Source organism: Homo sapiens, chromosome 4 (assembly GCF_000001405.40).
Source record: "Homo sapiens chromosome 4, GRCh38.p14 Primary Assembly".
In the NCBI taxonomy this organism is placed as follows: domain Eukaryota; kingdom Metazoa; phylum Chordata; class Mammalia; order Primates; family Hominidae; genus Homo; species Homo sapiens.
This window is the reverse complement of record NC_000004.12, coordinates 3315775-3332840: the sequence shown is the minus strand read 5'-3', so window position 1 is coordinate 3332840 and position 17066 is coordinate 3315775. Positions and strand designations below refer to the sequence as shown.

The following is a 17066-nucleotide window of genomic DNA, read 5'->3' as shown; positions in this document are numbered from 1 at the left end:
AAATATACATATATAAAAGACACAAAGTGTAAACCATAGGAGAAAAGATTATACATCTGGCTAGAAGAGTGAAAACAGGAGTCATGCCCGGGGCAGGGACACGTGCGAAGTGCACAACCAGCCAGGGACTAACAGCCAGCGTCTATCATTCCCGCAGTCCATGAGGAAAAGACAGCCCAAGAGGAGAGAGGGACCAAAAGGTTTGAGTAGGCGCCTCAACAGAGAGGAAACGCAGAGCCTTATAAGCAAGGGAATGCAAATCAAAGCCACATGAGACACCACTTTACAGCTCCCAGATTAGCAAAAGATTTAAAAGTCTGGCAAGCCTACCTGGAGACAGGTACAAGAATGCTCACTAGTGCGTTATGAGTAATTCTTTAGTGGCTCTGTGTATGTAGCAGTAGATTCACACAATGGATTATACAGTGTTAAAATGAACAGACTGTGACTACCAATAACATCATGGATAAACCACTGAAATAACATGAAGTGATTAAAAACAAGTTGCAGACAACTGTGTTATTAAGCCATTTCTATAAAACTGAAGCAGCAGCAAAACGAATCAATACACCGCCACCGATTCCAACTCTTAAGACACTTCCGGTTCTGCAGGGATGTGGCGGCCACCTTGCCCTGAACAGTCTCACTTTCCTGGAAACCCCATAGAACACGAGCCAACAGTGAAGGGGCCACACTGGTCTCTGCCCCTTTGCTCAGGGATCCTCTACCTCCATGGCCCCCAAGCCATCTGTCCTAGTGATCCCAGCTTCTCAGGGAGCCCCTGCCCTATTCCAGGACGGTGGGGGCTTCTGTCCACTGCTTCCCAGCCCCTCCACAGGCCTGAAGCTGTCCTCACTGCGATACCATTCCCCAGAGAGCGCACTCGGTGGCCGTGGTCAGGATGAAACCCATGGGCAAACGCTGCAGGGACTAGGAAAGGTCACCTGGTGCAGGTGGCACAAAGCCCCAGGTCCCCAGCTCTGCCGCAGGCCCATGAGGCTCCTCTCCCTGGAGCCGCCGTTCCTTCCCAGGACTGGGTGGACTCCGAGTGCCGCTGCCCAGTGTCTGCCTCCCTTCCTTTCGCTGGGGATGGAGAGCAGTGCGATGCTGGCCCCCGGGATCCCTGTTTACACAGCGTGATGGCCAACGCCACCCTTCCCAGAGAGACTTACATCATGGGGCCTGAGCTGTGACCCTTTTAGAATTATCCACACTTTTTTTTTTTTTACAATCTATTTTGAAACTTCCTCTCATTGTACTGGAAAAGCAGCGTAAAATCTATGTGCTGAACCTGAAACTCTCCTGGCCTGCAATCCAAGGAGCCTGTCATTGGCTACACCATGTAAGTACAGTTTGTTTCCAAGGCCATCTCTCACCGACTTTGTTCTTATTAAAATAATTTTTTAAATAATTTTTACTTTTCCTTCAAAGGAAGTTTTTTTTTAGTAAATATGTTCATATTCCCATCATAAGAAGTTGAAACAACACAAGATAAAAATTCCCTGGATTCTTCCCAGTTTTCATTTACTACCTCTGAGATAACTACTATTACCCATTTGGAGTGTTTCCTTTGTATTCTTTCCATATATTTACATATAAACATATGTGCACTTTAAAATGTATAGGTTTCTTTGAGGGGTGTTAGAATTTTTTACACCAAAACAGGATATTAAATATATGTGTTTTTGTGACTTGCATTTTCCACTCGATATGCCCTTGGGAGCTTTTCCTATCAGTAATGTATTGATCCGCTTTGCGTGACAGGCTGCTCGCCATTCCTGCAAGAACCAGTCTCCCCTTCTTCCACAGGAATAGAAATCTTAGCTAGACACACGGCTGTCCAGCTAAGGACTACATCTCCCAGCCCTTTGCACTAGGCAAAGCTACATGACTAAGTCTGTCCAATGAGATGTGTGCAACTTCCAGACTGTGCCTCCACCTCCCTCTTCCTGCTGAAGGAAATGGGGAAGTGAAGCTAAAGGAGCGATCTCAAAGTTCAGGGCAAAAGCCACATGTGGAGAGCAGCAACCACACAACAGTAGGCACCCTGGGTTCCTGAGGAGGGTGGAGCCTCCACACCAGCTCTGGAGGGTTTACTCAAACTATACTTCTTTATCTAAACCACTATTATTTTAATTTGTGCTGTTATAGCATAGAAACTCGTATTACTTTAAAATGAGTGTATGGATCCCATAGTATGGAAATACTACATTTTTTTTACTCCATTGTCAACAGACAATTTCATTCAATCAAAAAAAATATTAAGTGCCTTCTAACTGCCAGGCACTGTTCTAGGTGCTGTTGTTGCGAACAGGCTGCCAATAAGATCCTGGATCACAATTCTTCACGCCCTTCTAGTACAGGTATCTTCTCTCCCTGAGTGAAGGAAGAAGGCAAGGAGGAGGAGCCTGTAGTCCATTCTCTCACTTTAACTGGGGTTACCCCAGACAAGAAAGGTGACCTAATCAAATCTCCCTGTAAACTTGCTAATGAAAGACCTCCTGGCAAACCCAAGGATATTTGCTAGCAGGAGAATCCTTATCTGTGGAATGCCTTCAGCGGGATGTACTTGGTGTGTCTAGGATTGCTCACAGTAAATAAACTTGGAATCCTAGGAGTTATGGAGTATGGATCCCTGAAAAATGCCATATAAACTATGCAGCTCTCAGAGTACAAAATGGAGATACTTCATGGTCAACAGCTTCCTCCATGTGACTGATGTAAGCAGGTGCATTTGCTTAGAGACCTCCCATGTGAAATCTGGGCCAGAGCACATCCTCACACAGCAAGAAAGAACCAGGCGGTGTACTTGGCAGACAGCTTCTCTCTGCTTCTATAAAGCCTCACGATTACATGTGTCCTAGAAATTATTAGGAAGCTTGATATGCAATAAGATCAGTGACTCCCAAAAGCTGCACCTAACAGTTTTATCACTGTGTTCTCTTAAAGGGAAAATTTGTTTTAAAAAGGCAAAGGAATTCCTTCTCTTACTCCTTCCTCAACTAAACGTAATAGACTGAAATTTTGCACTCATGGACTCAGGTTTGTAAGACATTTAACTTTAAAATGTACCTTTATTTTATATAACCCAATCTGATTTTCTAACTCTAAGCCAAAATTACACCTGATACAGATTTAATTCAGTCATTTCTAAGTAAACAGTCAAATTAACTTTTCCATCAATTCTGCTCTTTAGTGCTTCAGTCGCATCACACTCAAGCCCTCTCGGGTGCGCCGCACTGTTCCCCTCCCTGCAGTTTCAGTGTATGAGGGGACGTTTGTGTAACTGTTGCTTCAACATCACAGGGTAAGGCCACCAGCCTCTCAGGTGTCACTTGGTTTGGTCCTGTGCTCATCTCCTTCTCCCACTGCCTGGCCTGGGTGCAGGCCCATGAGCACATTTACTGTCCTGTGCAACACACTCTCTCAAGCTCTGTGACCCCCAGGAGCCCAGAGGAACTTCTCATGCCACTCAGAGTCATCCCTTGCCCTGACCCCACTCCCACCTTCTATGGGGCAGTCCCCCTCCAAGTTCTAAACACACCAAAGAAAACAGATCTCTTGCACTCCTGGGTCCCAAACATGAGGGCAGCTTCCATCGGGGCCACCATGGAACTCAAAGTGGAATGTGAAGGCTCCTCCCACCCACCTGACCCCCTGGTGCTCTCCAATTCTCCTCTTCTTGACCCACAGCTCAGGCATTTCTCACAGGGAGGGTAGGAAAGGAAGTACTGATGCTCGCAGTGTGCAGCTCGGTCTTTGTGCCTTTCATCGGAACCCTCAGCTCTCCAACCTGGAATCCAACAGCTGAGCCTCTTGGCCTGACAACTTCCCCTTGGAGTTAAAGGTGACCCTGTGACCTCCCATCCAGACTGGACATGGTTAGTAGACAAGGGGGAGGAAAAGTCAGGCCAGGTAACAGATCCCAGATGGCCACTCTGCTCACAGAGCTGCCCACACACCCCATGACTTTGCTTCCTTTAGGACACAGTCGCATGTAGTTTGAAGAACCAGGGCAGCCAGGTCAAAAGTTTTCTAAGTTTACAGGAGAAAATTATAAACCAACACTCCCAACACAGCTCCGGCTGACTTTGCGTAGAACCCTAGAGTAAGAGAAATCTCACTACCATCTGCATTACTACCTAACTGCAAAACTACTATATCTATACCTGTATCTCTCTATCCCTACTGTGTGTATGTATATATAGTCGTAGTCCATTTCCTGTTGCTATAACTGAATACCTGAGACTAGGTCATTTATTTTTTAAAAAGAGAAATGTATTCATCACCGTCCTGGAGGTCAAGGGACTGCACCTGGTGAGGGCCTACGTGCTGGCGGGGACTCTACAGAGTCCTGAGGTAGCACAGGGCATCGCATGTTGAGGGAGCTAAACTGGCTCTTCACAGACCCACTCTCTAGTTTTCTTAGATACGATGAAAATGTATTTGTTTAAACGTATGGAGTACAAGTGCAATTTTGTTACTATACATGCATAGACTGCACAGTGCTGAAGTCTGTGCAGTCTATGCACAGTCTGTGCAACATACGTTGCACCCATTCAGAAGTGTCTCATCACTCACCCCTCCTCCCACCCCTCACCTTTCCAAGTCTCCATTCTCTACCATTCCACTCTCTCCATCCATGTGTACACATCATTTAGCTCCCGCTTATAAATGTGAACATGTGGGATTTGTCTTTCTGTATCTGACTTGTTTCACTTAGGACAGTAGCTTCCAATTCCATCCATGTGGCTGTGAAAGACAAGATTTCATTCTTTTGATGGCTGAATAGTATTCCATTGGGTATAGATGCCATGTTTCCTTTATCCATTCATCCACCGATGGACACTTAGGTTGATTCCATACCTTTGCTACTGTGGATAGTGCTGCAATAAACAGAAGAGTGCAGGTATCTTTTTGATATAATGATTTCTTTTCCTATGGGTAGACAGATACCCAGTAGTAGGATTGCTGGCTCAAATGGTAGCTCTATTTTTAGGACTCTGAAAAATCTACATACTGTTTTCCATGGAGGTTGTACTAATTTACCTTCCCAACTACAGTGTATAAGAGTTCCCTTGACAACATCTGTTATTGTTTGAGTGAGGTAAGATGATATCTGACTGTGGTTTTAATTTGCACTTCTCTCATGATTAGTGATATTGGGCATTTTCTCACATGCCTGTTGAACGTTTGTATATCTTCTTTTGAAAAATGTCTATTCGTATCCTTTGCCCACTTTTTAATGGCGTTATTTTGTTGCTGTGAGTTGTTTGAGTGCTCATATATTCTGGATATTAGACCCTTGTCAGGTGCATATTTTGGAAATACTTTCTTCCATCCTGCAGGCTATCTGTTCACTCTGTTGATTATTTCTTTTGCTGTGCAGAAGTTCTTTAAGTCCCACTTGTCCAATTTTGTTTTTGTTGTCTGTACTTCTGAGAATTCAACAATAAATTATTTGCCTAGACCAACATCCAAAAGAGTTTCCCTAGGTTTTCTTCTAGTATTTTTATAGTTTCAGGTTTAAGTCTTTAATCCAGCTTGAGTTGATTTTGTGTATGGTGAGAGATAGCAGTCCAGTTTCATTCTTCTACACAGGGCAATCCAATTTTCCCAGTACCATTTATTGAAAAGGATGTCTTTTCCCCATTGTATGCTCTCGTTAACTTTGTCAAAGATCACTTGGCTGTAAATATGTGGCTTTAATTCTGGGTTCTCTATTTTGTTGTCTAGTTTTATACCAGTAACATGCTATTTTGGTTACTACAGCCTTGTATAATTTGAAGTCAGGTAATGTAATATCTCCAGCTTTGTTCTTTTTGCTTAGAATTGCTTTGGCTATTCAGGCTCTTTTTTGGTTCCATATAAATTTTAGGATTGCGTTTTCTACTTCCGTGAAAAATTACGTAGGTATTTTGGTAGGGATTACATTGAATATGTAGATTGCTTCAGACAGTATGGTCACTTTAATGATATTAATTATTCCAATCCATGAATATGGATGTTTTTCCATTGGTTTGTGTCATCTGCAATTTCTCTCATCAGTATTTTGTAGTTTTCCTTGTGGAAATCTTTCACTTCCTTGGTTCAATTGATACCTAGGTATTTTATTTTTGTAGTTATTGTAAATGGGATTGCTTCCTTGATTTCTTTCTCAGCTAGATCATTATTGGTATAAAGAAATACTACTGATTTTTATACATTGATTTTGTATCCTGCAACTTTGCTGAATTTGTTTAACCAATCTAAGTTTTTCAGTCAAGTCTTTAGGTTTTTCTAGATATAAGATCACATCTAGCCAGGGGCGGTGGCTCACACTTCCCAGCACTTTGGATAGCCGAGGCAGGCAGATTGCTTGAGCCAGAAGTTTGAGACCAGCCTGGGCTACACTGTGAGACTCCACCTCTACAAAAAAATTTAAAAATTAGCCAGGCATGGTAGTATGCACCTGTAGTTCTAGCTACTTGGGAGGCTGAGGCGGGAGGATCCCTTGAGTCCAAGAGTTTGAGGTTACAGTGACCTAGGATAGCAGCACTGTGCTCCAGCCTGGGTGACAGAGCGAGACTTTGTCTCAAAAAAAAAGATTATGTCATCAGCAAACCACGATAATTTGACCTCCTCTTCTCTAATTGGTATGCCTTTTATTTATTCCTCTTGCCTGACTGCTCTGGCTAGGACTTCCAGTACTATGTTGAATAGGAGTGATGAGAGTGGGCATTCTTGTCTTGTTCCAGTTCTTAGAGGGAATGCTTTCAACTTTTCCCCTTTTGGTATGATGTTGGCTGTGGGTTTGTCATAGATGGCCTTTACTATTTTGAGCTATATTCCTTCTATATTTTGTTTGTTGAGGGTTTTTATCATGCTGAATTTTACCAACTGCTTTTTCTATGTCTATTGAGATGGTCATATGGTTTTGTTCCTAATTCTATTTATGGGATATATCACATTTATTGATTTGCATATGTTGAACCATCCTTGCATCCCTGGCACATAACACATCATAGCGTATTATCTTTTTGATGTGCTGCTTGAGTCAGTTTGCTAGTATTTTGTTGAGGATTTGTAATCTATGTTCAATAGGGATATTGGTCTGTATTTTTGGTGTTGTGTCCTTGTCTGATTTGGGTACTGGGGTGATACTGGCCTCATAAAATGAGTCAGGAAGAAATCCCTCATCCTCCATTTTCTGGAACCGTTTCAGGAGGGTTGGTACTAGTTCTTCATAGGTTTGGTAGAATTCGGCTGTGAATCTATCTTGCCCTGGACTTTTCTTTGTTAGGAGATGTTTTTGTTACTGATTCAATCTCACTGCTCGTTATTCAGACCCACCCTTTTGATAACTAATCCACTCCTGTGACAAGCTATCAAGGATGAATGGATTATGGATTCTGCCATTCATGAGGGCTGAGTCCTCATGACCTAATCACCTCTTAAAGGCCTCACCTCTTAATACTGTCACATTGGGGATTACATTTCAACATGAGTTTCAGAGAGGACAAACAATCAAACCATAGCATATCCCTATTATGTAGCTTTTAATCTATATAATAAATTATAAAAGTAACCAAATTTACTAATTGATTTTATGCCAAGGTTCATATCAAACAAATCAAAATAAAACTTAAGCCGCATTCCTGAACCAAGGAATCCTATCCTTTACCCTCCAAGCATGCATAAATCACCTTTCAGAAAACTCCTCCCAAGAAAATTCCCACTCTCTATTTGACCTCCAGCTACCAAAAATTCATTCATTTTCAATTTTTCCCCTTTGGCAGATTTTTTTATAACTAGTTTAAAATATTTTGACCAAAGCACTAATTTCTTTTACATACAAAGAGCTCTTACTAATCAATAAGAAAAAGGCCTACAATCAGGTAGAAAAATGGCCAAGGTACATGAATCAGGAGTAGACAATAAGAGAAATATTTATGGTCTATTAAGATACAAAATTGCTCAATTTAAGAAATTAAATAACACTATTTCTTTCCTCTCATATTGGCAAATAAATAAAACACTGATAAAACTCCAGAGCTACATGGGTAGGAAGAAAAGGGCCTCTTCTCCAGCTACCTAAGATGCTGAAAGGGAAGAAGGCCAAAGGGAAGGAGGAGGCCCTGGCCCCTGCCACCATGCAGCAGCAGATGGCCAAGAAGATGGACGTCTGAGGAAAGCCCTAAGAATTTCTGCAGTGGACAGGACGTCCAGCCATTACAGGGACCTTGCCCACTTTGTCAAGGGCCCTGCTGTATCAGGCTGCAGTGGCAAAGGGCCATCCTCCATGAATGGCTGAAAGCACCTCCTGTGATTGACTGGTTCACCCAGGCCTCAGGCCACAGGCAGCTACCCAATGGCGTACGCTGGCCCACAGTACCAACCAGAGACAAGCAAGAGAAGAAGCAGAGACTGTTGGCCTGGACTAAAAGACAGCACTGGCACAGGGGACATCCCCACTAAGAGATGGACCACTTGTCCTTCCAGCAGGGGTTGATACTGTCACAACCTTGGTGGAGAACGAGAAGGCTCAGCGGGTGGTGATCGCACGTGACGTGGCTCCCACTGAGCTGGTTGTCTTCCTGCCTGCCTGCGTCCTGAGATGGGGGTTCCCGACCGCACTGTCAAGGGAAGGCCTGACGAGGGCGTCAAGCCCGCAGGACCAACGAGTCTGCTCCACTGTCGCCTTCACACAGGTTAACTTGGAAGACAAGGGAGCTCTAAGCTGGTGGAAGCTATCAAGACCCACGACAACAGATATGACAAGATCTGCCATCGCTGGGAAAGCTAGCTCTGGGACCAAAATCTGTGGCTCACGTTGCCAAGCTGGAAAAGGCAAAGGCCACAGAACCTGCCAATAAACTGGGTGAAATGAACACTGTTGAGTTTTCTGTACATCAAAATAACACAAATTCTCCTTCAATAAAAAAGGGGGCATTCTCTCTCTCTCTCTCTCTCTCTCTCTCTCTCTCTCACACACACACACACACACACACTACTGACAAAAATATAAACTAGAAAACCTCTTTGGTGAGCAATTTGGCAAACTTTAAAATGCACATACACTTTTAAAAACAGCAATTCCACATCTAGGAACCTACCCAAAAGAAAACTCACATATATACAAAGATAGAACTTTAAGAATTTTTACTGCAATCCAGCTTATTATTAAATATAGAAACAGTCTAAGGTTGCCATCAACTGGGGACTGATTCAGTAAGAAATGGCACAGGCATATGACATAATACCACGTGGCCACTACAATGAAGAAGAGTTTTTAAAATTGATATATAACTATGTACATGAGAAATTTGTTTTAGAAAAAAGTAACTCACAGCAGTATGTCACATGTATTTTCAATAAAGGGAAGGAAAAGGAAGAGAATATCCAAGAGCCTGTGCAAACAGAGTAAGTCCATGAAAGGAAGCGAACTCTGAACTGCAGCTCCCCGCGCGGAGCGGGGCAGAGGCAGCAGCAGCATCTAAGGCTCTGACTCTTACAGTGCTGTTCGCATTGTGTCTGTGATTGTACCTTTGGGTATGTCGTCATGAACAAATGGTGGAGAATGAGATGATGAGCACCCACCAACACACTGCACCGCAAGAAATAAAACTGCACCAACACGAGCGAGGCGCCACGGCACCCCTCCCGGGAGAGGCCCCCCAGCCTGGTGCTTGCTCGTCCTCCCGCTCGCCCCTGGCTTGTCCTCCCACCGAGGGGCACGCGCCACCCTGGACAGCAGACTGCGCTGCTCACGGGCTTGAGGCTTCTGTATTTTGCCTTTTTTATGAGCGCGATTTTCAGATGTACTTCAGGTGATGCAGGTACCACTATCTCACTCAGATGTAGCTCTCGGGTACTCCAGTACACCCATAAGGTATTTCTCCATTCTCTGTTAATGGTCTTATCTCAGTAAGCAACAGTTGAGAAGGAACTCACTCCTGCAAATCCAACCTTCTGCGGGCAGCAGTCCTCAAGTGCTGTGGTCTCAGGACTCCTGGGAGTACCTACAAACGACTGAGCACCTCAGCGAGTCTTTATTTTTGTGGGTTTCAGCTACTGATGTTTCTCATACCAGAAATTAAACTGAGGAATTTAAAAATATGTATTCATTCATTTCAAAATTACACCAATCAATCCTTTACATATCACAAATAACATATTTTCATTTTTAAAATTTCCAAAATCCATTGTATGGAAATTTTAAGAATTTGGGTGCTGCTACTTAACCAGGTATTTTAATTAATTAATTTAATTAATTAATATAACTTTGAGTCAGTTTGCAGAGACACAGAATTAAACACGCTTGCCTTAAATGAAACACAAGGCAATCATTTTTGATGACAGAAGCATTTCGAGATCCTGGGTTCTCTTTCACATCAGCCCCTTTTGTTAGTCACAGGCCTGAATGCTTATCTCCATGAGAACCAGCTTGTGCTGGCTACAGACATTAGGCAGAGACAAAGAGCAAACTACACAAAAGGGAAAGCAGTCCACTTCCAAACATCATCTCACCCACTTCAAGAATTTCAGACCCTCAGCGAGTCTACAAGTAACTCAGCTCCCCTTCCTTGCTCCTCCCCAGAGGAGGGAGAAGCTGACAAGGATGAGCTGGCACAAGGTCACCACGTGGCTCGGTGTGCAGGGGGTTAGAGCTTTCCATCTCACCAAGGAGACGTAGAAATGCCGAGCAACAAGGGGTCTGGCTCGCTGGTCCCCAGGCTTTCACAGGAGCAAGTGGCCACTGAGGGCGGAAACCCGGGCTGAGCCTGCAGACAGCAGGATGGAGGCGGCAGTGACAAAAGCGTTGGCAAAGGACAACAATGGAGAATCTGGTGGCAGTTAGGACACAGAACTATTGGCCTTAGAGACCAACTTGTGACTAGATGCAGTATTATATTTCTTCTAATAGTCAGCTTATTTTGCATACAGATTAAGAAAGGCTGGTGCCAGTAATTTCAAAGGGAACGTTTAACATTCATAGAACTAGTAATAACTGTGTAGAGGGAATGCTGAAGATTGTTCTAGGGCTAAGGGCGAGTGCCTAAGCCAAGGACACCGTCAGCAGGGGCCCCTGCCCAGGCCTGGGCCTCAGAGCGCGCTGGACACCACATGCCTGCAGTCCACTGGGGGGAGGAGCTGACGTGGCTGTCCAGGCCGGAGCTGCTCCACAGCCACAGAAAACCCTGCCCTGGGGTGCAGGCAAGCCAAGGCGGACTCAAAAGCAGAAGCTGGGAGTGAGATGCCCTTGGGGGTGCTGAAGAAGGGTGCATACAGACGCTGGGTAGCCTAACGGGGCACTGTGCCAGACACCAAGGCATTTCTTCTCAGCGCCAAACCCACCCTGCCGTGCCCAGCTTCTGATCCTGGCACTGGGCCTTGAAGACCACATGGCTCCTGCCCAGGGGCTCAATGTTCAGCAATGGGCACAGGCACTGCCTCCCAGATGGAGTGGGGTGGACTGGCATGTGAGGGTCCCACATCGTTTTTCCTGGGGACTGGGGACAGCCACCAATCCTCACCTGGAGCTGCTTCACTCTCTCACAGCTGCGATGGACTCACAGTCCTGTCAGATAAGGCCCCTACTCTGGGTATCTAAGCCTCCCACGCCCACTTTTCTAGACTCAGCCCCTTTCCACACTGATGACCTTAGCCTTTCTTTTCTCTTTCAGCAGCTAACCTTCTTTTCCTTTGTTAACGATTCTGTATACTGAATTTTTCCTGTTCAAATTACTGCTGCGTTTCCTGTCTCCTGGCTGGATCCTGACTGATTCCACCTGAGTTTGTGCAAAGTAAAGCCCTGAAGTCCCCGTCACTAAGAATCCGGAGTCACGTGAAGCTCGCTGCCTGACACCATGGCACCCTCCAGGGGCCTCCTCTGCTCTCTCCCTCCCTGTGCCAACTCTGCTGCTTCTTCTAACTTCCAGGCACTTCCTGCATCCCTGCTGGCCCCTTCTCTCAGCACAGGCCAGCGTCCAGGTGGGGCCCTGATCGCTGCGGACGGTCACGGCCACCTTCGAAACTCTGCAGACCTGTCCACGGCGACGTCCGGACCCATCTTGTGGCCGCCTCATGACCCCTGGAAGCTTCTGCTGCTCTAACTGGGGAGGCTATGGGATCAGACTCACCTAACTACACAGGGAGGCCCACTTGGCAAAGTAAACAGCAACACTTAAACCTCAAGAGATTACAGCAGGAACCCATAAAACACAACACGTTACTACCTGTTTATTTTTAGATAGTGTATCACGCCACATTATGAAGGCCACTCCAAATCCCACACGGAGCGCCAGGGCTGTCTTGGTCCCAGCACTCACATGCCCTGTGACTGTGAGCAAGTCACCTGACAGCCAAACCTCAATCGCCTGGCCTGATGGCCTCAGGATTCCTATCAAGGTAAGGATGCACTCTGCAAAGCAGTGACCGCCACACCGTTATTTCCAACCCTGAGGACATGCTAGCTCCCCTTCTGCTCTGCTCCAGTGTGGGTGGGAACAGCCAGGACCCTCATCTTCACTGCAAAGAAGCCCAAGGCTGGCATCACAACCCCACCTATTCCCCCATGTCACCCGCCCCAAGGAGGAGTCCATTCACTGGTGGGATGGGGACGACAGCATTATCTGTCTCTCAGGTCCGCTGAGGACCATAAGCACCACTGCCAATTATCTAAAATGGCATCATACTCCCCACTGTCCAGGTCACTTTGAATTTCAAGGAGAAAGCAGGTGAAGGTGCCCTGTAATCCACAAAGAACCACATAAACACCAGTGTCAACCTTCACTACACCACAGCAGTGGAGAAAACACAGTTTTAAATATGTACTCAAAGAGATGAGGAATCTCCTGATTCCAAAGAACATTTTCACCACTTTCCAGGGCCCTTCACCTCCCATCCCTGCCCAATACAGGCAGCCCACACTGAGGCCAGCTCCCTGGGAGTGGCCCTGCCCCACCACCTACAGGCTCCACGGAGAAGTGAGGTGAGGCCCAGGGCGGGCAGGAGGGCACCTCCCTGAGAATCCAGACCAGGGCTCAGATCAAGAGACAAGGAAAGACAGCAGCAGCACGTGCAGCTGCAGAACGACTCCTCTAAGGAGGCTGAGGCCAGGCGCGTGTGGCTCATGCCTGTAATCCCAGCACTCTGGGAGGCTGAGGCAGAAGGATCGCTTGAGCTCAGGAATTCAAGACCAGCCTGGGCAAGATGGCAAAATCCCATCTTTACAAAAAATATAAAAATTAGCCAGGCATGGTAGCAAGTGCCTGTAGTCCCAGCTACTCAGTAGTCCCAGCTACTCAGGAGGCTGAGGTGGGAGGATCACTTGAGCCCAGGAGCAGGGGCTGCAGTGAGCTATGATAGAGCCACTGCACTTGAGCCTGGACAACAGAGCCAGACCCTGTCCCCAAAAATAAAGAGGATGTTGAAAATCCATATGATTACAAGTGTTTTAAAAAAAAAAATTCTATGCTTACATACATCAAAATGTTATCAGTGATCATTTTGAGGAGATAAAACGAGAAATCTGTTCTTCCTCCATTTTTTAAATTTTATTTTATTTTAGAGCCAGAGTCTCGCTCTGTCACCCAGGCTAGAGTGCAGTGGCTGCAACACAGCTCACGGCAGTCTTGAACTCCTGGGCTCAAGCGAGCTTCCTGCCTCAGCCTCCAAAGCACTCAGTTACAGGCGTGTGCCACGGCAGCCGGCTCCTTCCTTGCCTTTAAATGCTCTCAGGTGCTACATTTCATCATGGAAAACACTAGGGGAGGGGGAATCAAGTAGAAATATTCATCAAACACGGCCTTTCCTACTCCCCGGCCCTGCCTACCCAGCCAGCAGCCTTAGAGGGTCTTCTTAGGATGGTCTCAGGATGTGAACAAACACTAAAAAGGTGTCTTTACATCGTAAACAGCCGGAGTAGTTTCTCTGAAACAAAGGGAGCTAAGTGCCCACCCCCATCACCTGTCACAAGGGCCCTGGCTCCAAACACAGCACAGCCCCACACGGCAGCGCCGCCTCTGGCTGGAGGAAGTCCTTCCAGAGGGTTCCCTGCACCCAACCGCACAGGCACAGCCCCGCACACTCCCACACTGGCAGCACCGCCTCCTGCTGGACAAAGTCCCTTCCAGAGGGTTCCCAGCTTTGCTCATTTACTCTTTCCTGCTCCAAACTTAGCTCCTAAAGGCAGGGCCCCCAAAGGGATGCTGATGGGTCCAGGTCTTCAAGGCAGCACTACACACCTTGAGGTACCCCTCAGTGAGCAGGCGGCGTGGGGCTCCCCAGGCCCACTGCGGAGTCCAGCTGGTGTTTTACACAACAGGATATTCCCCATGGAGGAAACAGCACGAGGAACCAGCTTTCAGTGCTTCAAGAATATTCTCGCCTCAAGAGGGGTGTGGGACACTGGGATGAAGATTCTGGGGTCAGACCTAAAATGGGCTTCAAGGAGCCACAGGGACAGAGCTAGGGAGGAGCAGGAAGGGGAGGAAGGGCCTTATCCTGAGCTCCAAGACAACAACTTCCCTCTCGCCACCACCAGTCCTGCCCAGATGTCCTGCCCAGGACCAGCCATCAGAGCCAGAACCAGAACCAAGGACTCGAACAGGGCAGGGGGCAAGAGGTCCCAGCAAGACACAGTCCGCAGCCCACAGGCAACGCAGACACCCTGTGATGGCCACAGAGGCCACAGGGCCAGCAGGAGGAAGCCAGGACTGTGCAAGCTGGTGACTGGGAGTCACCTCCCCGTGACTGCTAAGTGAGGAGGCCGGGCCTCCGCGCTGAGTGGCTCCTGGCAGGCTTACCTTTTTATCTTCCTTAGTCTTTCGAACATTTCGATGGGGACCAAAAATGCTTTGCATTCCAAAGGCCTTCCTGGACCACTCCCTCTTCGGGGCATTCAGCGGGGGCTGCGCGAAGCTGCCCTCCACCCTGTAGCGGTCTGCGGGGATCTTGCTCATAGGAGGGGGCAGTGTGCCGCAGTTGATGCTGGACCAGCCATCGGTGGAATCTGTGTAAGAGTCCTGGTCGCTGGTGTGTCCGCACTGCCACTCCCGGAGCACGTGGACCGGGAGCCAGCGCTGGTTGAAACCACAGCCAGCACCCACGGTGCCCCTCTTGGAAGGGGGGACTGAGCTCCTCAAGGAAGCTGGGGGCACCTCCACAGGAGAGGCTGGCCCTAGGTGCTTGTTTAGGTCCCAGAACCTGTCAGTCTGATGAGCGGCCTCAAATGGGGGGCTCCCTTCGGGGTCCGGACAGAAGGGCCCAGTCCAGGGAGCACCCCAGGGCTGGGCACCCCTCCCACCCACACCGTCCCACGCGCTGCCTCCGGGGCCGTGTCTGCTCGAGCTCCCACCCAGGTCCACCACAAGGACCCGGTTGCTCTTCTCCTCCTGGTGGAAGTTCCCAATGCCGCTGTCACTGTTGCTGCTGGTGCTGTTGTTCTGGTGGGCATCGGCGTCCCCGTCCAGAAAGGCGCGGGCCCGCATGCCCTCAATCAGCTCACCCATGTCTCGGTACAGGACAGAGATGAACTGCAGGACGGGGAGGGAGGACGCCGGGAATTCCAGACAGCCATTGGTGTCTGGGTCGGCCGTGCACTCAAACCCAAACCGCCGAGCAATGCCTTGGTGGATCTTGTGATTAAACAAGTCTGGGTCCACCATGAACACGTGGCAGGAAGTCCGCAGGGCGCCCTCCTCCTCCTGGGCCAGGCTCCCGTCGTCATTCGTCTGCATGGTAACCAACCCGAAAAATCGCCGGTCGTCCGGGCACACGGCGCTGAAGGCCAGCTTCTCGGCCGGGTACTCGGCCACGACTCCAGCCTTGTCAGTGCTCAGCTGCACACAGTCGTGCATGATCTTCATGGTCACCAGCGAGTGGATTTTCTGCTCTGCCCGCAGGCGCCGCATGCAGCCGCGGATGGCTTGCAAGCTGTCGGACTCCAGGTTGGAGCTCGTGGAAGGAAGCTCAATGGAGCCTAAGTAGCCCACGATCATCGCCACGTTTAAAATACTTGCATCCAATGCAAAATCGTCATGACTTTCTAGTCCAATGCTGAAAACCGAATCATCATGAATAACTTTTGATATTTCCTCCTTAGAAAGCATGTTGGGATTTGGATTATTTATACTTTCATGTCCAACATCAAATCGAGTTGCGGCCGACTCTGAAAGGGATCTTTGTTTCAATTTCAAGGGCTCTGAATTGCTCGCACAAAGGCTCGGGTTTTCAAAAATCATATTGAAAATTCCACCAGACTGCATTTCCTCCACGACTCGCTCTGCTCTGTTTATACCTAGTGCTTTAGAATCCAGCTTGGGCTTCAGCCAGCCTTTTCCTTCATAGAGTCCCCCTTCTTCATCACTGGAACAGGATTCGAAGCGGCCGACGCCTTCAGCAATCACCATGTGAAGGACACCAGAGCACTTCCCAATTAATTTCACTACATCTTCATGAGATGCTTTTTTCACGTTGATTTCATTGACAGCAAGTATCTGGTCTCCAGCTCGGAGGCCCACGAAATCCGCAGGGCTCCCTCTCATGACGCAGCTGAGCACACAGGGTGCCTGTCCCGAAAGCGTGAATCCGTAGCCGGCCCTCCCCCGGGCAACCTCCACACTCCGCACCCTTGGGGGCGACGGCCCAGGCAATGGGCGTTTGGAGGCCTCCCCAGCTCTAAACATTCTGATGAGCTTCCAAGACCAAGAGCACGTCTCATTGTTCCCTTGGAGCCATATTTCAAGGAATGCTTGATGCTACCATGTTTGCTTCTTCAAACAGTGCCCTAAGAAAGAAAAACGAACAGCTCATTATTAAAGAGCCCATCTTTCTCCACCACTCACTGGTATTAGCTAAACACAAAAAGATAATTCATAATAAAAACCACCACAGAAAGAGCCTCTAAGTGTCTATAGATAATAAATCTTCAAGTCAGGCTAAGAAACTTCCTTTCGGAGTAGAAAATGTCTCCCACAACTGCTACCTTGTTACCACACAAGTTCCTGCCAGGCCCACCTGCCACGGGTGTGAGGATGCAGGACTGCTTCCCAGCACTGCTTCCACACCCTGTTTGGATGGAA

General features: G+C 47.6%; 1 protein-coding gene and 1 pseudogene across 14 annotated transcripts in view, besides 1 other annotated feature; one reads left to right on the top strand and one right to left on the bottom strand.

Annotated features, from left to right (window-relative positions):
• RGS12 (regulator of G protein signaling 12) overlaps nt 1–17066 on the bottom strand; it is a 154023-nt gene that overhangs the window by 107073 nt on the left and 29884 nt on the right. For 12 of the 14 annotated variants that reach the window (NM_001394155.1, NM_001394154.1, NM_001394157.1 and 9 more), the window contains exon 2: nt 14790–16771. The exons of the other annotated variants lie outside the window; for them this stretch is intronic. In NM_001394155.1, the coding sequence (NP_001381084.1) occupies nt 14790–16670 (1881 nt within the window). In that variant the 5' untranslated portion in view covers nt 16671–16771. The remainder of the gene's footprint in view (nt 1–14789; nt 16772–17066) is intronic. 14 annotated transcript variants of the gene reach the window in all.
• Nucleotides 8059–8916, top strand: RPL7AP29 (ribosomal protein L7a pseudogene 29; annotated as a pseudogene).
• Nucleotides 14930–15484: an enhancer, noted in NCBI's record as "H3K27ac-H3K4me1 hESC enhancer chr4:3319084-3319638 (GRCh37/hg19 assembly coordinates)". NCBI's record gives its function as "activates a minimal SCP1, AML or CMV promoter by ChIP-STARR-seq in primed H9 embryonic stem cells {active_cell/tissue: H9 hESC(primed)}" and the evidence as "EXISTENCE:reporter gene assay evidence [ECO:0000049][PMID:30033119]".